Raw genomic sequence first — 24143 nt, 5'->3', positions numbered from 1 at the left:
CTGTTCACAGATGTTGTAATCTTCTATGTTGAAAACCTTAAAGATTCCACACACGAAAATTAGAGCCACTAAATAAATTCAGCAAAATAGAGGCATACAAAATCAACACAGAAAAATCAGTTGCATTTTATTTCTTATTTATTTATTTATTTATTTATTTATTTATTTATATTTTTAGATGCAGGGTCTCACTCTGTTGCCCAGGCTAGAGTACAGTGGCATGATCATAACTCACTGCAGCCTTGAACTCCTTGGCTCAAGTGATTCTCCTGCCTCAGCCTCCTGAGTGGCTAGGAATAGAAGCATGTGCCACCATGCTCAGCTCATTTTTTAATTTTTTGTGGAGAAGGTGTGTTACTATTTTGCCCAGACTGGTCTCAAGCTCTTGATCCTCCCTTCTTGGCCTGGGCATGAGTCATTGCACCTGGCCTAGTTGCATTTTATACTCTAGCAATGAATAATCAATCCAAAAAGGAAACTAAGAGAACAACTCAAGTCATAATATCATCAAAAAGAGTAAAATACTTATAAATAAATTTAACCAAGGAGCTGCAAGATTTGTGTACTGCAAACTTCAAAACATTGCGGAAAGAGACTGAAGAAAATGTAAACGAATATGCAGACATCCTGTGTTCATGAACTGGAAGATCTAATATTGTGTTTTTTTTGTTGTTGTTTAAACATGGTCTTGCTTCTGTCACCCAGGCTGGAGTCCAGTGGCGCAATCTTGGCTCGTTGCAGCCTCTGCTTCCCAGGTTCAGGTGATTCTCCTACCTCAGCCTCCTGAGTAGCTGGGATTACAGGCGTGCACCACCAAGACCAGCTAATTTTTGTATATTTTGTAGAGACTGGTTTTGCCATGTTGCCCAGGCTGGTCTTGAACTCCTGAGCTCAAGTAATCTGCCTGCCTTGGCCTTCCAAAGTGCTGGGATTACAGGCATGAGCCACTGCGCAGCCTGGAAGATCTAAAATTGTTAGGATGGCAATACTACCCAACACAGTCTACAGATTCAACGCAATCCTATCTAGCTCCTAAGGCCATTTTTTTGTAGAAATAGAAAAACCCATTCTAAAATTCAAATGAATTGTAAGGGACTCTGAATAGCCAAAATCATCTTGAAAAAGAATAAACTTGGAAGTCTCACACTTCCTGATTTTAAATCTTATTACAAAGTTCTGGCTGGGTGTGGTGGCTCATGCTTCTAATCTCAGTTCTTTGGGAGGCCAAAGTGGAAGGATCAGGAGTTTGTAACCAGTTTGGGCAACACAGTGAGACCTCATCTCTATTAAATTAAAAAAAAAAACAAAGTTAATTGTAATTAAAATAGTGTCGTATGGGCATAGAGACAGACGTTTAGACCAATGCAATAGAATAAAGAGACCAGAAATAAACCTTTGCATATGCGGGCAATTGATTTTCAACAAATGTGCCAAGACTAATTCAGTCGGGAAAGGATAGATGTTTCAACATATGAGGCTGGGAAAACTGGATAGCCGCATATGAAAGAATAAAGTTGGACCCTTACCTTATATAGTACTATATACAAAAATGATCAAAAACCTAAATCTAAGACTTAAACTTATGAAACTCTTACAAGAAAACATAAGAGAAAATCATTATGACATTGGATTTAGCAGTGCTTTTTAGGCTATGACACTGTTGCTTATTTTACAGGATGCTTTCCCTCCCCAACCCATGACCACACATGCCAATAGCAATCCCAGATATTACGATGACTAAAAATGCTACTGGACATTTCCAAACATCCTGCCTGTAGTTGAAACCACTATAAGATACAAAAGATATTTGTGTGTGTTGTTAATAGCATATTTTCAGAGATTGGTAAGAAACTGCCCCATTTGGTAGGGTGTCTTCTCTATTCACTCTTCTTAGTACAAATTGTTAAATTAGCTCATCCCTTTAATATAATTTTTAATGTTTGTGGGTACATTGTAGGTGTATATATTTATGGGTTACATGAGATATTTTGACATAGGCATACAATATGTAATAATCACATCAGGATAAATGAGATATCCATCACCTCAAGCATTTATCCTTTATTTATTTATTTTTTGAGAGGGAGTCTTGCTCTATTGCCCAGGCTGGAGTGCAATGGCATGATCTTGGCTTGCCGCAACCTCTGACTCCTGGGTTCAAGCAATTCTCCTGCCTCAGCCTCCCGAGTAGCTGGGATTAGAGGCACCCACCACCATGCCTGGCTAATTTTTGTATTTTTAGTAGAGATGGGGTTTCACCATGTTGGCCAGGCTAGTCTTGAACTCCTGACCTCAAGAGATCCGCCCACCTCGGCCTCCCAAAGTGCTGGGATTATAGGCATGAGCCACCGCACCTGGTCAACATTTATCCTTTCTTTGTGTCACAGACAACCCAATTATATTTTTTTAGTTATTTTAAGATGTACAATAAATTTCTGTTGCCTGTAATCACCCAGTTGTGCTATCAAATACTAGATCTTATTCATTCCATCTAATTATATTTTTGTACCCATTAACCAACCCCACTTCTCCCCTGCCACACTACCTTCCCAGTCTCTGGTAACCACCTTTTTTTTTTTTTTTTTTTTTTTTTTTTTGAGACAGAATCTTGCTCTATCTCCCAGGCTGGAGTGCAGTGGCGCAGTCTCAGTTCACTGCAACCTCTGCCTCTTGGGTTCAAGCAATTCTCCCTGCCTCAGCATCCCGAGGAGTTGGGATTACAGGCACCTGCCACCATGCCCGGCTAAATTTTTTTTTTTTTTTTTTTTTTTTGAGACGGAGTCTCGCTCTGTCGCCCAGGCTGGAGTGCAGTGGCGGGATCTCGGCTCACTGCAAGCTCTGCCTCCCGGGTTCACGCCATTCTCCTGCCTCAGCCTCCCAAGTAGCTGGGACTACAGGCGCCCGCCACTACGCCCGGCTAATTTTTTGTATTTTTAGTAGAGACGGGGTTTCACCGTTTTAGCCGGGATGGTCTCGATCTCCTGACCTCGTGATCCGCCCGCCTCGGCCTCCCAAAGTGCTGGGATTACAGGCGTGAGCCACCGCGCCCGGCCGCCCGGCTAAATTTTTGTATTTTTAGTAGAGACAGGATTTCACCATGTTAGCCAGGCTTGTCTCAAACTCCTGATCTCAAGTGATCTGCCTGCCTCAGCTTCCCATATTGCTGGCATTACAGGCATGAGCCACCGACCATGCTTATAACCACCATTTTAAAAAATGTAATAGAGATGGGGTCTCACTATGTTGCCCAGGCTGGTGTCAGACAGACTCAAGAGATTCTCCCACATCAACTTCCCAAAGTGTTGGGAGTTACAGACATAAGCCACTGCGCCTGGCCCCTAACCACCGTTCTGCTCTATCTCCATGAGTTCGCTTGTTTTGATTTTTTAGCTCATGCAAACAAGTGAGAACATGAGAAGTTTGTCTTTCTGTGCCTGGCTTATTTCACTTGACATAATGACCTTCAATTCCATTTATATTGTTGCAGATGCCAGGATCTAATTTTTTTGTGGCTGAATAGTATTCTGTTGTGTATAAGTAGCATATTTTCTTTATCCATTCATCTGCTGATGGACACTTAGGCTGTTTCTAAATCTTGGTTATTCTGAATAGTGCTGTAATATAAACATAGGAGTGCAGATATCTCTGTGTCATACTGATTTCCTTTTTTGGGGGTATATACCAAGCAGTGGGATTCCTGGTACTTACATATGTAAGTTCTATTTTTAGTTTTTTGAGAAACCTCCAAACTATTCTCCATAGTGGTTGGACTAATATGTATTCCTGCCAACAGTGCACAGGGGTTCCCTTTTCTCCCTCCACATTCTTGACAGCATTTGTTATTACCTGTCTTTTGCATAAAAACTGTTTTAACTGGGATGAGATGATATCTCATGATAGTTTTGATTTGCATTTCTCTGATTAATGATAATGAGTACCTTTTCATTTACTTGTTTGCCATTCGTGCGTCTTCTTTTGAGAAATGTCTGTTCAGATATTTTGGCCATTTTTAAATTGGATTATTAGTTTTTTATAGAGTTTTTTTCAGTTCCTTATACATTCTGGTTATTAATCCCTTGTCAGATGGGTAGTTTACAAATATTTTCTCCCATTAATATGGTTCTGTGGTTTGTCCCCTCACTTTGTTGATTATTTTCTTAGCTGTGCAGAAGTTTTTAACTTGATGTGATCCCATTTATCCATTTTTGCTTTAGTTGCCTGTGCTCATGGGGTATTACTCAAAAAAACTGTTGTCCAGTTCCATATCCTGGAGATCTTCCTCAATGTGTTCTTTTAGTAGATTCATAGTTTGAGTTTTGTTTTGTTTTGACAGAGTTTCACTCTTGTTGTCCAGGCTGGAGTGCAGTGGCACAATATCAGCTCACTGCAACCTCTGCCTCCTGAGTTCAAGCAATTCTCCTCCCTCAGCCTCACGAGTAGCTGGGATTACAGGTGCCCACAACCACGCCCAGCTAATGTTTTGTATTTTTAGCAGAGATAGGGTTTCATCATGTTGGCCAGGCTGGTATCAAATTCCCGACCTCAGGTGATCCACCTGCCTTGACCTCCCAAAGTGTAGGGATTACAGGTGTGAGCCACCTCGCCCATCCATGAGGTCTTATATTTAAGTTTTTAATCCATTTTGATTTGATATTTGTATATGGTAAGAGATAGGGGTCTAGATTCATTCTTCTGAATATGGATACCCAGTTTTCCCAGCATCATTTATTGAAGAGATATTCTTTTCCCACTGTATGTTCTTGAGACCTTTGTCAAAAATGAATTCACTGTAGATGTATGGAATTGTTTCTGGTTTCTCTATTCTGTTCCATTGGTCTATGTGTTTTTATGTCAGTACCTTGCCATTTTGGTTATTATAGCTCTGTACTATAATTTGATGTCAGGTAATGTGTTTTTTCTAGTTTTGTTCTTTTTGTTCAGGATGGCTTTGCCTATTGTGGGTCTTTTGAGGTTCCATATAAAGTTTAGAATTTGTTTTTCTATTCTTATGATGAATGCCATTGGTATTTTGATGGGGATTGCATTGAATCTGTAGATTTCTTTGGGTAATGTGACATTTTAACAACAATGATTCTTCCTATCTATGAACATGGAATATCTTTCCATTTTTGGTGTCCTCTTCAATTTCTTTCATTGCTATTTTATCACTTTCATTGTAAAGATATTTTACTCCTTTGATTAAGTTAATTCCTAGGTATTTTATTTTATTTGTAGCTATTGTAAATGGGATTACTTTCTTGATTTTTTAGATTGTTTGCTACTGACATATAGAAATGCTACTGATTTTTTGTATGTTGATTTTGTATCCTGCAACTTTACTGAATTTGTCAGTTCTAGTAGGTTTTTGCTGGAGTCTTTAGTTTTTCCAAATATGGGATCATATCATCTGCCAACAAAGATAATTTGACTTCCTTCTTTTCAGTTTGGATGCCCTTTATTTTTTTCTCTTATCTGATTGCTCTAAATAGGACTTCCAGTACTATGTTGAATAACAGTGGTGAAAGTGGGCATCCTTGTTTTGTTCCAGATCTTAGAGAAAAGGCTTCCAATTTCTCCCCATTCAGTATGATACTAGCTGTGGGTCTGTTGTATATGGCTTTTATTATGTTGAGGAATATTCTTTCTATACCCAGTTTTTTGGAGGTTTTTATCATGAAGGGATGTTGAATGTTAGCAAATGCTTTTTCAGCATCTGTTTTAATAATCATGTCTTTGTCCTTCATTCTATTGATATGACGTATGACATTGATGGATTTGTATATGTTGAACCATCTTTGCATCACTGGGATAAACCCTATTTGGTCATGATAAATGATGTTTTCAATGTATTGTTGAATTTGATTTGCTAGTATTTTGTTAAGGATTTTTTCATCAATATTCATCAAGGATATTGGCTTGTAGTTTTTTTTTTTTGATGTGTCTTTGTCTGGTTTTGGCATCAAGGTAACACTGGCCTCATAGGATGAGTTTGGAATTATTCCCTCTTCCTCTATTTTTTGGAATAGTTTTGGTAGAATTGGCATTTTTCCTTAAATGTTTGCTAGAATTCAGCAGTGAAGTCATTGGGTTCTGAGCTTTTCTTTGCTAGGAGACTTTTTATTATGGCTTCAATCTTGTTACTTGTTATTAGTCTGTTCACATTTTGGATTTCATTATGGTTCATTCTTAGTTGGTTGTGTGTATTCAAGAATTTATTTCTTCTAGGTTTTCCAATTTATTATCCTATGGTTGCTTATAGTGACTCTAACGATCCTTTGAATTTCTGCAGTATCAGTTGTTGTGTCTCCTTTCTCATCTCTGATTTTATTTATTTGTTTCTTTTCTCTTTTTTTCTTCATTAGTCTGGCTAAAGGTTTGTCAATTTTGTTTAACTTTTCAAAAAACCAACTTTCAGTTTCATTGATTTTGTCTATTGTTTTCTTTGTTTCAGTTTCATTTATTTTGCTCTGATCTTCATAATTTCTCTTCTTCTACCAGTTTTGGGTTTGGCTTGCCCTTCCTCTCCTAGTTCTTTAAGATGCATAGTTTGGTTGTTTATTTGAAGTTTTTCCACTTTTTTTTTTTTTTTTTTTTTTTTTTTTTTATGAGACGGAGTCTCACTCTGTCGCCCAGGCTGGAGTGCAGTGGTGCGATCTCGGCTCACTGCAACCTCCACCTCCTGGGTTCAAGTGATTCTCCTACCTCAGCCTCTTGAGTAGCTGGGACTACAGGTGCCCGCCGCCATGCCCAGCTAATTTTTTGTATTTTTAGTAGAGACGGGGTTTCACTGTGTTAGCCAGGATGATCTCAATCTCCTGACCTCGTGATCTGCCTGCTTTGGCCTCCCAAAGTGCTAGGATTACAGGCGTGAGCCACCACGCCTGGCTGTTTTTCTACCTTTTTATGTAGGTGCATATATAAACTTCCCTGTTAGTACTCCTTTTGCTGTATCCCATAGGTTTTGCTATGTTGTATTTCCATTATCATTTGTTTCAAGAAAATTTTTAATTTTCTTACTAGTTTCTTCATTGACCCACTAGTCATTCAGGAGCATGTTGTTTAATTTCCATGTGTTTGTATAGTTTCCAAAATTCCTCTTGTTGTTGATTTCTAGTTTTATTCCATTGTGGTCAGAGAAGATACTTGAGGTAATTGTGATTTTTTTTTGAATTTTTAAAGACTTGCTTTGTGGCCTAACATATGGTCTATCCTTGAGAAAGATCCATGGCTGAGGAGAAGAATGTGTATTCTGTAGCTGTTGGATAAATGTTCTGTAAATATCTATTAGTTTCATTTGGTGTATTGTGCAGATTAAGTTCAATTTTTCTTTGTTGATTTTCTGTCTGGAAGATCTGTCCAATGCTGAGAGTGGGGTGTTGAAGTCTCCAGCTGTTATCATATTGGAGTGTATTTCTCTCTTTAGCTCTAATAATATTTGCTTTATATATTTGGGTGCTGCAGTGTTGGGTACATACATGTTTACAATTGTTATATTTTCTTGCTGAATTGACCCCTTTATCATTATATAATGGTCTTTTCAAATTTTTTGTCTTACATATATATAGCTACATCTTCTCTTTTTAGGTTTCTATTGGTATGGAGTGTCTTTTTCCATTTCTTTATTTTCAGTTTATGTGTGTCTTTATAGGTGAAGTGTTTCTTGCAGTCAATAGATCATTGAGTTTTGTTTTTTTAATCCATTTGACGACTCTATATCTTTTTATTGGAGAATTTGGTCCATTTACATTCAATGTTATTATTGATACGTAAGGACTTAGTCCTGCCATTTTGTTATTTGTTTTATGGTGGTGGTTGTTTTTTTTCTTATCTTCCTTCCTTTCTTTTAGTGAAAGTGATTTTCTCTGGCAGTATGTTTTAATTTCTTTTTAGTTTTTGTGTATCTGTTTTATCTTTTTTGATCTGAGGTTACTATGAGGCTTGCAAATAATATATACATTTTGACACAGGGTCTCACTCTGTCATCCAGGCTGTAGTGTAGTGGTGTAATCACAGCTACCTGCAACCCCAACCTCCTGGGCTGAAGTGACCTTCTTACCTCAGCCTTCTGATTAGCTGGGAGCACAGATGTGCACCACCACGCCAGGCTATTTCTTTTATTTTTTGTAGGTGTGGGGTCTCCCTCTGTTGCCTAGGCTGATCTTGAACTCTTGGGCTCAAGCAATCCTTCTGCCTCAGCCTCCCAAAGTGCTGGAATTACATACATGAGTCACCATGCCTGGCTTCAAATAATATCTTACAGCCCATTCTTTTTTTTTTTTTTTTTTTTTTTTTGAGATGGAGTCTTGCTCTGTCACCAGGCTGGAGTGCAGTGGCACGGTCTTGGCTCACTGCAACCTCTGCCTCCTGGGTTCAAGCAATTCTCCTGCCTCAGCCTCCCAAGTAGCTAGGATTACAGGCACGCACCACCATGCTCGTCTAGTTTTTGTATTTTTAGTAGAGATGGGGTTTCACCATGTTGGCCAGGCTGGTCTTGAACTCCTGACTTCATGATCCGTCCACCTCAGCCTCCCAAAGTGCTGGGATTACAGGCGTGAGCCACCGCACCGGCTAGCCCATTCTTTTAAACTGATGACAACCTAACACTGATTGCATAAACAAACTAACAAGCAAAGAGAAAACTAATAAAAATGCTACACTTAACTTTATCCCCTCACTTTTTAGCTTTTTGTTTTTTTCTATTTATATCTTATTGCACTTTTTATGTCTTGAAAAGTTGTTGTAGTTATTTTCATTGGTTTATCTTTTAGTCATTCTACTCAAAATATGAGTAGTTTACACTTTGGAATTACGGTGTTATAATATTCCGTGGTTTTCTGTGTACTTATTATTACCAGTAAGTTTTGTACCTTCAGGTGATTCCTTATTGCTCATTAACATTCTTTTCTTCTTTTTCCTTATTTATTATACCTTTTATTTTGAGACAGGGTCTCACTCTGTTAGCTAGGTTAGGGTGCAGTGGCATGATCTCAGCTCACTGCAACCTATACTTTCTGGGCTAAAGTGAGCCCCCCCACCTCAGCCTCCTGAGTAGCTAGCTGCTACTACAGGTGCACACCACCATTTCCATAAAAAAATTTAAAAATTTAAAATTTTTTTTTGTAGAGGCAAGGTCTCATTATATTTTCCAGGCTGGTCTTGAACTCCTGGGCTCACACAATTCTCCTGCCTTGGCCTCCCATGTGCTGGGATTATAGGCATGAGCCACTGTACCTGGCCAACGTTTTTTTCTTTCAGATTGCAGTACTCCCTTTATCATTTCTTGTAAGATAGGCCTGGTGTTGATAAAATTCCTCAGTTTTTGTTTATCTGGGGAAGTCTTTATTTTTCCATATTTGAAGGGTATTTTCTCCAGACATACCATCCTAGGATCCAAGTTTTTTTCCTTTAGCACTTTAAATATGTCATGTCACTCTCTCCTGGCCTGTAGATTTCCACTGAAAAGTCTGCTGCCAGGAATATTAGAGCTCCATTATATGTTACTTATTTCCTTTCTCTTGCTGCTTTTAGGATCCTTTATCTTTGGAAGTTTGATTATTAAATATCTTGAGGTAATCTTATTTGGGTTAAATCTGCTTGGTGTTCTGTAACCCCCTTTTACTTGAATATTGATATTTTTCTCTAGTTTTGGAAAGTTCTTTGTTATTGTCCTTTGAATAAATTTCTACCCCCCTCTCTCTACCTCCTCTTTAAGGCCAATAACTCTTAGCTTTGTCCCTTTCAGGCTATGTTCTAGATTTTGTTGGCATGCTTCATTCTTTTTTTATTCTTGATGTGTGCATGTGTTCTCTGCCTGTGTATTTTCAAATAGCCTGTCTTCAAGCTCACTCGTTATTTCCCTGCTTGATCAATTCTGCTATTAAAATCCTCTGATGCATTATTCAGTATGTCAATTGCATTTTTCAACTCTATAATTTCTGTTTGATTCCTTTTAGTTATTTCAATTGTTTTGTTACATTTTTAGGACTCTGATTCCCATAAATAGGATTGTAAATTCCTTCTTTGTGTTATCTTGAATTTCATTGAATTTCCTGAAAACAGCTATTTTGAATTTTCTGTTTGAAAGAAAGGTCATATCTCTCTGTCTCTCCATGATTTGTCCTTGGTGACTTATTTAGTTCATTTAGTGAGGTCATGTTTTCCTGGATGGTTTTGATGCTTGAGGATGTTCATCAGCATCTGAGCATTGAAGATAAGTATTTATTGTAGTCTGGGCCTGTTTGTACCTGTCCTTCTTGGGAAGGCTTTCCAGGTGTACGGTGGGAGTTGGGTGTTGTAATCTAAGTTTTTTGTCACTGTAGTCACATCTTCATTAGGAGGCACCCCAAGCCCTGTCGCGCTGTGGCTCTTGCAGACTCACAGAGGTAAAATCTGGTGGTCTTGGATAAGATGCGGAAGAATTCTCTGAATTACCAGGCAGAGACTCTTGTTCTCTTCCTTTACTTTCTCCCAAACAAATGGAGTCTCTCCCTCTCTCTGTGCTCAGCCGCCTGGAGCTAGGAGAGGGGTAACACAAGCACCCCTGTGGCCACCAACACAGGGACTGCACTAGGTCAGACCTAAAGCCAGCATAGCACTGGGTGTTGCCTAAGGCCCATGGTAACCACTGCCTGTCTACCACCTATGTTGACTCAAGGTGTTAGGGTTCAACAATCAGCAGGTGGTGAAGTCAGCCAGGTTGTGTCCTTCCCTTCAGGGCAGCAAGTTCTCCCTGTCCTGGGCAGGTCCACAGATGTCATCTGGGAGCCAGGGACTGCAGTTGGAAACCTCAGGAATCTACCAGGTTCTGTATTCCACTGAGGCTGTGCTGGAGCCCAAGCAATAAGACAAAGTCCTTTGCACTTCCCTCTCATTTCCACAAGCAGAGGAGTCTCTCCCTACTGCCCAGTACTGTCTCAGGCCTGTGGCAAGTACTGCCTGCCCCAGGGTTCTTCAGTCAGCTTGTATTGAATGCTGCTAGGTTTGGGACTCTCCCTTCAGGCAGTGGGCTCCCCTCTGGCTTAGGGCAGGTCCCGAAATATTGTTTAAGAACCAAGGCCTGGAATCAGGGACCCCAAGAGCCCATTTGGTGCTCTACCTCACTGTGCTGAGCTGGTACCTACGCTGCAAGACAAAGTCTTCATTACACTTGAGAGTACTCCTTTTCTTAAGCAGAAGTAGCCCCTCCCCATAGCCACCACAGCTAGGAATGTGCTGAGTCACAGCTTAAGCCAGCAAGTCTCTGAGTCTCACCCCGTGCCTACAACAAGTACTGCCTGGGTACCGCTACTGATTGTTGAGGGCCCAAGGGCTCTTTGGTCAGCAGGTGATAAATCCTGCCAGGACTGTGTTTTTCCCTTCAAGGCAGCAATTTCCCTTCTGGCTCAGGGTGTTTCTAGAAATGCTATCCAAGAGCTAGGGCCTCACAACTCTGACTGGTTCCCTATTCTACTGTGGTTGAGCTGGTATTGAAGTTGCAAGACAAAGTCATCTTTACTCTTCCCTTGCCCCTGCTCAAGTGGAAGGGAGGAGTTTCTCCCAGAGCTGTGAGCTGCACTGCCTGAGCTTGGGTAAGGGTTGGTGCAAGCACTCCCTTAGCTGCCCCAGCTGGTGTCTCACTAGGTCATGTTGCCCTTCAAGTCCACTGGTTTTGAGCCCAGCATAGCACCAAAACTTTTCCAGGAATTGCTGTTTTCGTGGCCTATTCTGCCTTTCCAGTTTATTTAGAACCCCAGAGCACTTTAGTTCACGGTGATAAGGCTTGCTGGAACTCTGGTCCTGACCACTGGGATAGGCAAATTCCCTCTGGTTACCTCTGGTCTAAATGCTGTCTTCATCAGCATTGATTCTGCCCTGTGTTCTTTCCACTGAGACAGGGCAGCACTGAGTTCCAATGCGAAGTCCCATAATCGCTGTGCTCTCCCTCCCCCAACACACAGATTTCTCTCTCCATGGTATGTGGCCACTGCCGAGAGAGATTGGGGAGGGGTGGTGTCCGCAATTCAAGACTGTCTTTCCTACCTTCTTCAGTGTTGCTTTCAATGATATGAAGTTAAAACCCATACTATGATCGTTCATCTGATTTTTGGTGCTTGTGAAGGTGCTTTTTGGGGTAGATAGTGGTTCAATTTGGTGTTCCCGTGGGGAGGACAATTGATGGAGGCTCCAATTCAGTGATCTTGTTCCACCTCCTGTCTCTCCCGCTTAGTTTTTATTACATAAAAATATTTATGTTTATAATATTTCAATTATGTTCTACAATATAATCATAATTTCCACAAGGGTAATATTCTTCTTTTTTTTTTAATTTTTTTTTATTTTGAGACGGAGTCTCGCTCTGTCGCCCAGGCTGGAGTGCCGTGGCCAATCTCGGCTCACTGTAAGCTCCGCCTCCTGGGTTCCCGCCATTCTCCTGCCTCACCCTCCCGAGTAGCTGGGACCACAGGCGCCTGCCACCATGCTGGCTAATTTTTTTTTGTATTTTTAGTAGAGACAGGGTTTCACCGTATTAGCCAGAATGGTCTCGATCTCCTGACCTTGCGATCCGCCCACCTCGGCCTCCCAAAGTGCTGGGATTACAGGCGTGAGCCACTGCGCCCGGCCATTCATTTTTATATAAATGTATTTAATGTGTTACCAGTCTTTTTGCTTCTCTTTTCCATAGCTCTTTTTATCTCTTTTGATTAGCTGGGTTTTGATGTTAAGTAGTATTTTTCAACTAATGTTCGTGGACATTATCTAACCTGACTTCTTTAATGGTGGAGAATACTTGCTATAACTTGACACCATATATGGCTCATAGAGAAATACTATCACTTCAGGAAATTAAGTATAGAATAAGCATATTTCATTATTAGGGAAGATGTGACATTTAAAATTAGATTTACTTTAAAATTTGTAGAGGGTGGGTACAGTGGCTTATACCTATAATCCCAGAAGTAGGAGGCCAAGGCGAGAGGACTGCTTGAGTCCAGGAGCTCAAGACCAGTCTGGGGAACATATTGAGACCCTGTATTTACAAAAAAAAAAAAAAAAAAAAAAAAAAATTAGCCAGGTGTGCTGGCATGTGCCTATGGTCCCAGCTATGTGAGAGGCTGAGGTGAGAGGATCACCTGAGTCCAGGAGGTTGGGGCTGTAGTGTGCTGTAACTGGGCCATCACACTCCAACCTGAGTGAAACAGTGAGACCCTGTCACAAAAAAAAAAAAAAAAAAAAAGCATTCTCTTTGGTTTCATTACTGTATTTATTATCTGCCTATTGAAAGTTAGTTAATAGCTTTCATTAAAGGAGTTGATAAAAGATGACATGAGATAAATAAAAAGATTAATTATAAAGAGAACAGGAGAGGAGGAAATGATATCAGTAAATGCAGGGTTAAGAATAATCAATAATCATATCAGGCTGGGTACAGTGGCTCACACCTGTAATCCCAGCATTTTGTGAGGCCAAGGCAGGTAGATTGCTTGATTCCAGGAGTTCAAGACAAGCCTGGGCAACATGGCAAGACCCTGTCTCCACAAAAAAAGAAAAAAAAAACAAGAATAATCATAATAATTAAACACAAAAATTAGATCTGTAGACAGAGCATTTACAGACTAATTTTCTAATCATTACTATCAATACATCAGGAGAAACAACATTTTTCTGTAGAGAACTCTGTGAGGAATTTTTCACAAGGGTTGTTATATATGGAGGATTGGAAACATGGCATACACAAAGGATGAATAACATAGCAAATGTCTGTAGTATCCCCACAACCATTATCCATTCATAACCTAATGCCGTGCTTGCTTCAGATATTTTTGTTTCAGAAATAAAATAGAAGAATACAAATTATGCTTCCTAAATGCTATTTCTCACTCAAAGGCATCAGAGCTTCTTAGATAAATGGTTGGTTTCAGATCTGAGGCAGGAAATGAAAAATGAGCCTGGAACATGTTGTTATGCTAGAAAGCAAGAATGCACGCGGAGACTACTAACTTGAAGGCAATTTGAAGGGCCTTTCACTGGCCAAGATATTTTGGGAATCAATAAGAGTAACTGCAATGTAGTAAATACATTATGTGTTTAAATCCATGAGTCTATGAAGATTAACAATTCATTGGCCAGTCACCTTTGGATTGTGATATAGAATCACACTTGTTATTTTGAAAACAAAGGAAAAGAATCTAGCAGTTACTCTGCCTGTTTTGAACATACTGGACCTTGAGGTGAACAAATTCTTAATGAAGTGTTCTCTTTAAATAAAATTTCCAGCTAATAAATTAAGAAGGAATTATAAATTTAGCCTACTACACATTTGTAACCCCTAATGAAATACTTAATGGGTCTAGTAATAATCATCAAAAGAAGAGAGAAAATCAGGTATTTGGAGCTTCCTAACGGAAGTATACAACACCTAGGATGTACTCTTGTCAAATGATTGGACTTGAATCTACTCAAGTTTTTAGATTTATAATTTTGCATTAAACAATGGAAGGCAAAAGGATGTGGTTAACGAAACTATTAAGACGCAATCATGTAGAACATAACAATCTGTTTCTTAAGTAAATCAATTGTGTAGTAGTTTGCTGGGCTGCCATAATAAAGTATAATACTTGATTTAAACAACAGAAATTTATTTTCTCACTGTGTCTCTTTGTGTTTCCGAATTTCCTCTTCATATAAGAACACCACAAACCTGACAAAAACAAGCAATGGGGAGGGATTCCCTATTTAATAAATGGTGCTGGGAAAACTGGCTAGCCATATGCAGAAAACTGAAACTGGACTCCTTCCTTACACCTTATACAAAAATTAACTCAAGATAGATTAAAGACTTAAATGTAAAACCCAAAACCATAAAAACCCTAGGAGAAAACCTAGGCAATACCATTCAGGACACAGGCATGAGCAAAGACTTCATGACAAAAACACCAAAAGCAATTGCAACAAAAGCCAAAATTGACAAATGGGATCTAAGTAAACTAAAGAGCTTCTGCACAGCAAAAGAAACTATCATCAGCTGGGCATGGTGGCTCACGCCTGTAATCCCAGCACTTTGGGAGGCTGAGGCGGGTGGATCACCTGAGGTCAGGAGTTCCAGACCAGCCTGACCAACATGGAGAAACCCTGTCTGTCTCTACTAAAATTACAAAATTACCTGGGCGTGGTGGCGCATGTCTGTAATACTATGTGGCCATAAAAAAGAATGAGTTCATGTCCTTTGGAGGGACATGGATGAAGCTGGAAGCCGTCATTCTCAGCAAAGTAACACAGGAACAGAAAACCAAACACTGCATGTTTTCACTCATAGGTGAGAGTTGAACAGTGAGAACACATGGACACAGGGAGGGAACATCACACACCAGGGCCTGTTGGGGAGTAGGGAGCAAGGAGAGGGAAAGCATTAGGACAAATACCTAATGCATGCGGGGCTTAAAACCTAGATGACAGGTTGATAGGAACCGCAAACCACCATGGCATGTGTATACCTATGTAACAAACCTGCACATTCTGCACAGATACCCCAGAACTTAAAGTAAAATAAAAAGAAAAAAAAAAAACACCAGTCAGGTTGGATTAAGGCCCACCCTAAAGACCTCATTTAATGTAATCACTTCTTCAAAAACCCTGTCTACAAATACAGTCACATTCTGAGGTATTGAAGATAGCACTTCAACATGAATTTCTCAAGGACACACTGCTGTCCATAACAAACTGTAAGGGGGAAATAAGAGAGTGTGAGTGGGATCCTTTAACTAAACAAGTCTGAGACACATCGGCCAAAAGTAATACGGACATTATTTGGATTTTGATTTGAAAATTTAAACATTAAAAATTATGAGACAATCAGTGATATTTGTTTTCTTTTTTCTTGTAGCGACAGGGTCTCGCTACATTTCCCGGGCTGTTCTCAAACTCCTGGGCTCAAGTGATCTTCCCATCTCAGCCTCCCAAAGTGTTGGGATTACAGGTATGAGCCACCATGCCTGGCCAAAAATTAGAGATATTTGAACAATGACTGGATATTTCATGCTATTGAGAAAATTTCAATCCCTGGCACTTCCACTAAAATAAAATAAATGTAAAAATAAATTGTCCATTGTTTAGATGTGATAATAGTGTTGGGGTTTGCTTGAAAAATAGAATCCATATCTTTTATAGAGATCTGAAAATAGTTACGAATAAAATTAGGCATTCGGAGCTTCCTAATGGAAGTATACAACACCTAGAATGCATTATTGTCAAGTGATTGGACCTGAATCTACTCAAGTTTTTAGATTCATAATTTTACAGTAAACAATGGAAGGCAAAAGGATGTGGTTAATGAAGCTATTTAGATGCAATCACACAGAACATAATTCCATTTCCTAAGTAAATCAATTGTGTAGTAGTTTGCTTTCTGAAATTTGTTTCAAAATAATCTGTGGGAAAGAGGGAAAAAAGGCAGGTATCAATGAAACAAAGATTGGCCACTAGTTGAAGATTGATACATAGGGGTTTGTCATACTATGCTTTCTACTTTGGAGATGTTTCAAAATTTCCATAATAACAAGAAAAAGTGAATATGATGACCAATACAATTGAGGACTTCCATTTTTAGCAATATTGCAGTGTTAGAAATTCTGAAACCACTTGACCTACATAATAATGAAAAATACTTAATGTGTTAAAAACTGCTTTTCAATGTTTAGATGAGTCCACTAAGATCACTAATGGAACAGGAGCAGAGACCAGGCAATTAAGCTACCCTTCAAAGTCCCTGTGTGCCTTGAGCCCTACAATGCTATTTATGACCTAAAAAGTTCACTACACAGAGAAGACAGGGAACAAAGCCCTGAATCCACACAGAATGGAAGCTTATCTTCATGCATACTGTCTGGAGCTCAGAATGGGCAAGCCAGAAAAAAACCCCTCCTGCAAAATAGAGAATACATTTCCATCTTGGGCTGGGCTATGAATGGAAGTTTAAAAAAAGAAGAAATAAAGCCTCCTCTAAGAATTTGTAGCCACTGACCAGATCTTAAGTGGTTTGGGATCTGAATCTACATTCTTTGTATGATTGAAAAACCACAAGTCTATACTTTATTTACTTATTAATTTAATTAATTAATTAATTTTTTTTTTTTTCCCTGAGACAGAGTCTTGCTCTGTCTCCCAGGCTGGAGTGCAGTGGCGTGACTCGGCTCACTGCAACCTCTGCCTCCTTGGTTCAAGTGATTCTCCTTCTTCAGCCTCCTGAGTAAGCTGGGATTACAGGCGGGTGCCACTGTGCCTGGTTCATTTTTGTATTTTTAGTAGAGACGGGGTTTCACCAGGTTGGCCAGGCTGGTCTCAGGTGATCCGCCCAGCTCCGCCTCCCAAAGTGCTGGGATTATAGGCATGAGCCACTAGGCCCAGCAATTTTTTTTTTTTTTGTGACGGAGCTTTGCTCTTGTTGCCCAGGCTGGAGTGCAGTGGTGTGATCTTGGCTCACTGCAACCTCTGCTTCCCAGGTTCAAGGATTCTCCTGCCTCAGCCTCCCGAGTAGCTGGGATTACAGGCACCTGCCACCATGCCCAGCTCATTTTTGTATTTTTAGTAGACACGGAGTTTCACCATGTTGGCCAGGCTGGTCTCGAACTCCTGACCTCAGGTGATCCATGTGCCTTGGCCTCCCAAGTGCTGGGATTACAGGCATGAGCCAACGCACCCAGCCTTATTTATTTTATTTTAGAGATGGGGTCTTGCCATGTTGCCCAGGCTGGAGTGCAGAATCCACTTGCAGGCACAATCATAGCACACTGTGGCCTGGAACTCCTTTGGCCTCAAGTGATCCTCCTGCTTCGACCTTCTGAGTAGCTGGGATTACAGGCACATGCCATCATGCTGGGCCCCACAGGTCTGTAATTCAAAGGCTGTCAGGATGGGTAATATTCCCAGGTGTCTTAAAGCAAACACAAACTTTCCCAGATAAATGTATCCTCCTCAATCCTCAAAGAATTCCTACAGAGAGGCAGCCAACAAAAAATTCATAATAATAAAAAAAGAGATCAAGCAAGCCATAGATAATACAACCAGAAACACAAAGACTTTGGATATTATAATTATCAGAATTAAAGTAAATAACTCTGCTTGAAATGTTTTAAAATGTGAAGATGGCATTGAAAACATGAGGAAGAACAGGAGACAATCAAATAATTAGCCAATTTGAAAAAGAACGAATCAGACCTTGAAGTCATCTCTAGCTTCTTTGTCTTTCACCTTCAGTGTTCTCAGTCACCAGCTTCTGTAAATTCTTCATTTACAATGTTTCTTTGATGCCTCTTTTCTCAGTTTAAGTCATCTCTTTAGTTCAATCATTTTTTTTTTAAATTTCCAGACTGATCTCTGCCTTCCCACATCCCCCCATCCATTCTATACATGAACAGAATAACCTTTCTTTTTTTTTTTTTTTTAACTTTTACTTTAGGTTCAGGGGTATATGTGAAGGTTTGTTGTATAGGTAAACTCGTGTCATGAGGGTTTGTTGTGCAGGTGATTTCATCAACCAGGTATTAAGCCCAGTACCCAAGTTATTTTTTCTGCATCTCTCCCTCCTCTCAACCTCCACCCTCAAGTAGACCCGTGTCTGTTGTTTCCTTCTTTGTGTTCATGAGTTCTCATCCTTTAGCTCCCATTTATAAGTGAGAACATGTGATATTTGGTTTTCTGTTCCTGCGTTAGTTTACTAAGGATAATAGTCTCCGGCTCCATCCGTGTTCCTGTAAGACATGATCTCATTCCTTTTTATGGCTGCATAGTACTTCATGGTGTATATGTCTTACACCCTCATGGTATATACATATATACCAGTGCATTTTCTTTATCCCATCTGCTAATTATGGGCATTTAGGTTGATAAGATTAACCTTTCTAAAACGTTAGGTTTATAACTGAAAGAGGAGCCGGTCGCTCGCTGCCTGTGGAATGAAGACAAAATAACAAGAGTGAGGTATGATAAAGAGTGAATTTTATTATCCATTGACAGCAAGGAGGAAAGTGGTCAGAATACTTTACAAAAATTTCCACTTTCCAATTTCTGGAGAGAGGGCAGGGGTTTCAGAAGAGGGGCTTTGAATGCCGGAGAGGCAAGGGGGCTAGTAGGTGCCAGGTGGCGTGGGCTTGCCCTAGTAGCTTATCTTGAATTATTGTTCCATCTGGTGAAGGGGCCAGCACCTTCGTGGGCTCATCCAAGTTACAAATCAATCCCAGTCAGTCTTGCAGTCAATATCTATCTGGGAGTGAACCCTGGCCTAGAAGTCATCTCCGGCTGGGAAGAGAATCCCAGAAGTGCCTGTTTTTGTGTCAGGATTAGGCCCCTGAAGCTTCTAAAGAAATATATGACCAGATAAGTGAGTATGATGTGAGCTTAACAAGCATCCAGGTAAATAAATGTGCATAAGGCATGAGAGCATAAGGTGGGAAAGGGAAGGGAATAGAGTGTTAAAACACATTCAAAGGCATATTTCAAGACAACAGAAAACACATCTGTGGTTTGTCTCAAAGCTGTGTCTTGAGACTGGCAAGAAAGGAGGAAAGAAAAAAAGGTTTAAAAATGCAGCTTTTTTTTTTTTTTTTTTTGAGACGGAGTCTCACTCTGCTACTCAGGCTGGAGTGCAGTGGCACAATCTCGGCTCACCGCAACCTCCGCCTCCCGGGTTCAAGCAATTCTTCTGCCTCAGCCTCCCGAGTAGCTGGGACTACAGGCGCATGCCACCATGCCTGGCTAATTTTTGTATTTTTAGTAGAGACGGGGTTTCACCATGTTGGCCAGGCTGGTCTCGAACTCCTGACCTCAGGTGATCCACCCACCTCGGCCTCTCAAAGTGCTGGGAATACAGGTGTGAGCCACTGTGCCTGGACCTGTGTCTTGTTTCTCTTCTTTAGTGCCAAACATGGGACCTAATGTAAGGGAGCCCTCAAAAAAACATTGCTTAATGAGGGGTTAGATGACATCTGCTTGAGGAAGAAACGGAATCATCGTTTACTTACTTTCTTCTACAATATTGATCTTCTTGCTATTTTTCTGGTTTGTTTGTGCCGTTTGGAGCATAATCAAAGGGAGAAAATAGTTTCACATTTTGGGCCTCCATTTAGCCATACTTGTGGATGATGGGTTTAACTGACCATTAGAACTCTTTTCTAATCTAACACTTTAGGGTGTATTGCCAAACTGGAAAGGACCCAAAGGCCCATCAAAAGTAGATAAATAAATTACACTGTACTCATAAAGTGGAATCCTCATAAAGATAAGAATGAATAAGCCTTTATGACCTGCAAAATATATGAATTTCATGCCGATAATATTCAACAAAAGAAGACAGTCTCAAAATGGTAACTACTTGCTTGGTTGGGCATGATGGCTCATGCCTGTAATGCCAGCACTTTGGGAGGCTGAGACGGGTGGATCATGAGGTCAGGAGTTCCAGACCAGCCTGGCCAACATGGTGAAACCCCATCTCTACTAAAAATACAAAAATTAGCCGGGCATGGTGGTGCATGCCTGTAATCTCAGCTACTCAGGAGGCTGAGGCAGGAGAATTGCTTGAACCCAGGAGGCCATGGCTGCAGTAACCTGAGACTGTGCCACTGCACTCTAGTCTGCGTGACAGAGTGAGACCTTGTCTCAAAAAAAAAAAAAAAAAGATAACTACTTCATTTATATACAGTTTTAAACAGACACAACTAATATATAATGATAGAAGTCAGAATGGATGGGATGACCTTTGGGAGTGATGACCTTTAATGGTAATAGATGTTACCTTTGGAAGGGATGGAGCTTGAGGGAGGCTTCTGTGGCATTGCTAATACAATTTTTTTTTTTTTAATCTGAGTGACAGGTATACAGGTGTGTTCACTTTGTAAATATATATCAAGCTGTCCACTTAGATTTCCTGTACTTTTTTGGTATGTTGTACTTCCCTACAAAATTTAGTTAAACAAAAGACTTATGTATGTTATACTTCCCTACAAAATTTAGTTAAACAAAAGACTTTTATAGGTACTGAAATGTAGTTTGGTGAATTCTTAACATTTAACCTTTTAGCTTAATCTGCAGAGACAAATGTTATATACTCTACTGTACTATCTGACTCTGCAGGTTAATTATCAATACGTAGTTTTTTTTTTTTCACTGCAGTCTAATTTTTAGAAGTGAACTTTATAACCAAATAAACTTTATAACCAAATGAACTTTTTTTTTTTTTGAGAGGAAGCCTAGCTCTGTCACCAGGGTGGAGTGCAGTGGCGAGATCCCAGCTCACTGCAACCTCTGCCTCCTGGGTTCAAGCGATTCTCCTGCCTCAGCCTCCTGAGTAGCTGGGACTACAGGCGCATGCCACCATGCTCAGCTAATTTTTGTATTTTTAGTACAGATGGGGTTTCACCATGTTGGCCAGGATGGTCTCAATCTCCTAACCTCATGATCCACCCGCTTCAGCCTCCCAAAGCGCTGGGATTACAGGTGTGAACCACTGCACCTGGCCCTAAATAAACTTTATAACCAAATGAATTACTTCTTAATTGGTCTCTTGTCTGCTGTATAAAGCAAATTACATGAACCAAGGTGTTCTGGCTCCAGCATCTGGGCTCTTACTACCCCCACAATCCCCTGCCCCCTCCCCGATGCTGTCTCTCTCTGTGTAAAACCCACCTTCTCTTCACTTTCCATGTCTAAAAGACTTTGACGCCTGCTTTTTGACATTTCTCGTCTCTCCAAGATTATTGCTATCTTGGTAACTTCTCTGTTTATTTTGATGATCATCCCATCACCCTAGCTTCTGTGCTCTCTGATCTCAACTCCATCTCCAGGATAGGCAGAATTCTAAAGATCTCCCTCTCCCCTAACCCCTACAATTCCAGTTCATTCCCTGGTTATTTCATCAAGCACTAATCTAGGTACTGATCTGAAGGATTTTGAAGTTATAACTAAAGTCCTAAGTCAGATGACTCTAACATATCAAGATTGTAAAGGTGGGCCTGATTTAATCACATAAGCCCTTTAAAAGGCAGAAAGAGCCTGGGCGCAGTGGCTCATGCCTATAATCCCAGCACTTTTGGGAGGCCAAGGTGGGTGGATCACCTGAGGTCAGGAGTTCGAAACCAGCCTGGCCAATATGGTGAAACCCCCGTCTCTACTAAAAATAACAAAAATTAGCTGGGCATGGTGACGCATGCCTGTAGTCCAGCTACTCGGGAGGTTGAGGCAGGATAATTGCTTGAGCCTGGGAGGCGAAGGTTGCAGTGAGCCGAGATTGTGCCACTGTACTCCAGCCTGGGCAACAGGGCGAGACTCCATCTCAAAAAAAAAAAAAAAAAAAAAGGCAGAAGGGACAGTTGGGTTCAAAGTTTGAGAAGGACTCAAACTGTTTTGAAAGTGGAGGGGCCACATGGGAAGAAATGCAGGCAGCCAAGAGGAGCTGAGGGTGCCCCTGGTTGACATTCAGCAAGGACACAGGAAACTCAGTCTTGGAACCAAAAAGAAATGGATTCTGCCAACAACCTTACTCTGCTTGGTTCTTTAGAGAAGAGTGTCCAGCTAAGAGTTCATTTCAGCTGGCTGACACTTTGACTTGGCCTGTTGATACCCTGAGCAAAGCCTAACCTAGCCTAGACTTCTGACCTCCACAATTGGGAGATAATAAATGGGTATTGTTTTAAGACATTAACTTGATGGTAATTTGTTACTCAAGCAATAGAAAACAAATACACTTCCCTTCCATTTCCATAACCTCACTCTCGTGTTCAAACCGTGGGACCTTATCAAAACCTGGAATGTGAATATTAAATGCCAGTATCCCACTCAGTGACCTGATCCTCCTGTTTCAACTTTTGCCATCTGCATGTGACCCCTCCATGTACTTTCTTTCTCTCTGTCTATTCCTGGCTTCGCTTTCCTATGATGATGAATCACTTCACTCACATGACTCCTTTGCTTCATCTTTCTATTGCCTTACCCACCCAACAAAACTGTACCCTAGAATTTATCTAACCCTTTACCTTCACATCTTTGTGAATGAGAAAGCCATGCCCATTTGCAGCTTTCAAACCACTGTTTACAGAGTCCCATCCCAAGTAGTAGGGGCCTTGGTGTTGCTGTGCGAGCTCTATGTCTCATATTAGTGTTGGGAGGAAAAACTTCCTCTGCCAACTTAGGTCCAGTGCTTGGGGGCCTGTAAATTAATTGGCAATAGATGGATTAACAGGAGAATAGACAAGGTTTATTTACACTTACTCAGGTGAAGAGGCTCTCTGTACAGTTAGGGATGAGAATTTATATGCCAATAATATGGGAAAAGGGAGGAGGAGAGAAAGGGTTCTATGGGAAAGCAAATATACTTTTGTGGAAAGACAAATGGGCTTTTAGGGAAACAAATGATGGTACGACAATTTGTGATTATGTTCGGTTATGCAATTCGTCATTCAGGTGCAAGTGGTCTCCTTCCTGGCAGTAAAGTCTCCTTACTGGCAGTGAAGCTCCCCAAGAGGGAATTTATGGCAGCTTCACTCTCTGAAAGCTCTGGCTTTAGTCAAATAAGGGAAGCTCCAGAAAGGCTTCTTTCTGTATCTGCTGTGTCTTAAATGTTTCAGTTTAAAATACTCTTCATACCAACTCAGTGGGTGCCAGTGGGTCCCTCCATTAGCATCCTCTTCCATTTCCTTGGGGCCTTGTGGTGAGCAGAAAAATGGCCTCTCAAAGGTGTCCATGTCTTATTCCCTAGAATGTGAATGATAGGTTACTTTAGCAAAGGAGAATTAAGGTTCCAGATGAAATGAAGATTGTTAATCTAATGATTTTCTCTCTCTCTTTTTTTTTTTTGAGATGGAGTCTCACTCTGTTGCCCAGGCTGGAGTGCAGTGGCACAATCTTGGCTCACCACAACCTCCGCCTCCCGGGTTCAAGCGATTCTCCTGCCTCAGCCTCCCGAGTAGCTGGGACTACAGGCGCATGCCACCATGCCCGCTTAATTTTTGTATTTTTAGTAGAGACAGTGTTTCACTATGTTGGCCAGGCTGGTCTTGAACTCCTGACCTCGTAATCCACCCGCCTCGGCCTCCCAAAGTGCTGAGATTACAGGCGTGAGCCTGCCCAGATGAATGTACCTGGCCCAAATAACTTTAAAATAGGGAGATTATCCTGGCTTA

The 24143-nt window shown here is 40.6% G+C and overlaps 1 protein-coding gene across 3 annotated transcripts in view, besides 4 other annotated features; it reads left to right on the top strand.

The window, feature by feature from the left end:
* The window catches only part of ABCG2 (ATP binding cassette subfamily G member 2 (JR blood group)), a 141363-nt gene that overhangs the window by 41936 nt on the left and 75284 nt on the right, over positions 1 to 24143 (top strand). The gene's annotated exons all lie outside the window — the stretch shown is intronic.
* Positions 10873 to 11559: an enhancer, noted in NCBI's record as "H3K27ac-H3K4me1 hESC enhancer chr4:89099284-89099970 (GRCh37/hg19 assembly coordinates)". NCBI's record gives its function as "activates a minimal SCP1, AML or CMV promoter by ChIP-STARR-seq in primed H9 embryonic stem cells {active_cell/tissue: H9 hESC(primed)}" and the evidence as "EXISTENCE:reporter gene assay evidence [ECO:0000049][PMID:30033119]".
* Positions 11283 to 11372: an enhancer, noted in NCBI's record as "active region_21709". NCBI's record gives its function as "activates an Ori minimal core promoter by ATAC-STARR-seq in GM12878 lymphoblastoid cells {active_cell/tissue: GM12878}" and the evidence as "EXISTENCE:reporter gene assay evidence [ECO:0000049][PMID:35858748]".
* Positions 11383 to 11442: an enhancer, noted in NCBI's record as "active region_21708". NCBI's record gives its function as "activates an Ori minimal core promoter by ATAC-STARR-seq in GM12878 lymphoblastoid cells {active_cell/tissue: GM12878}" and the evidence as "EXISTENCE:reporter gene assay evidence [ECO:0000049][PMID:35858748]".
* Positions 12247 to 12934: an enhancer, noted in NCBI's record as "H3K4me1 hESC enhancer chr4:89097909-89098596 (GRCh37/hg19 assembly coordinates)". NCBI's record gives its function as "activates a minimal SCP1, AML or CMV promoter by ChIP-STARR-seq in naive H9 embryonic stem cells {active_cell/tissue: H9 hESC(naive)}" and the evidence as "EXISTENCE:reporter gene assay evidence [ECO:0000049][PMID:30033119]".

Source organism: Homo sapiens, chromosome 4 (genome assembly GCF_000001405.40).
Source record: "Homo sapiens chromosome 4, GRCh38.p14 Primary Assembly".
In the NCBI taxonomy this organism is placed as follows: domain Eukaryota; kingdom Metazoa; phylum Chordata; class Mammalia; order Primates; family Hominidae; genus Homo; species Homo sapiens.
Note: the sequence above shows the minus strand (reverse complement) of the source record. Positions and strands in the feature narration are given on the sequence as shown.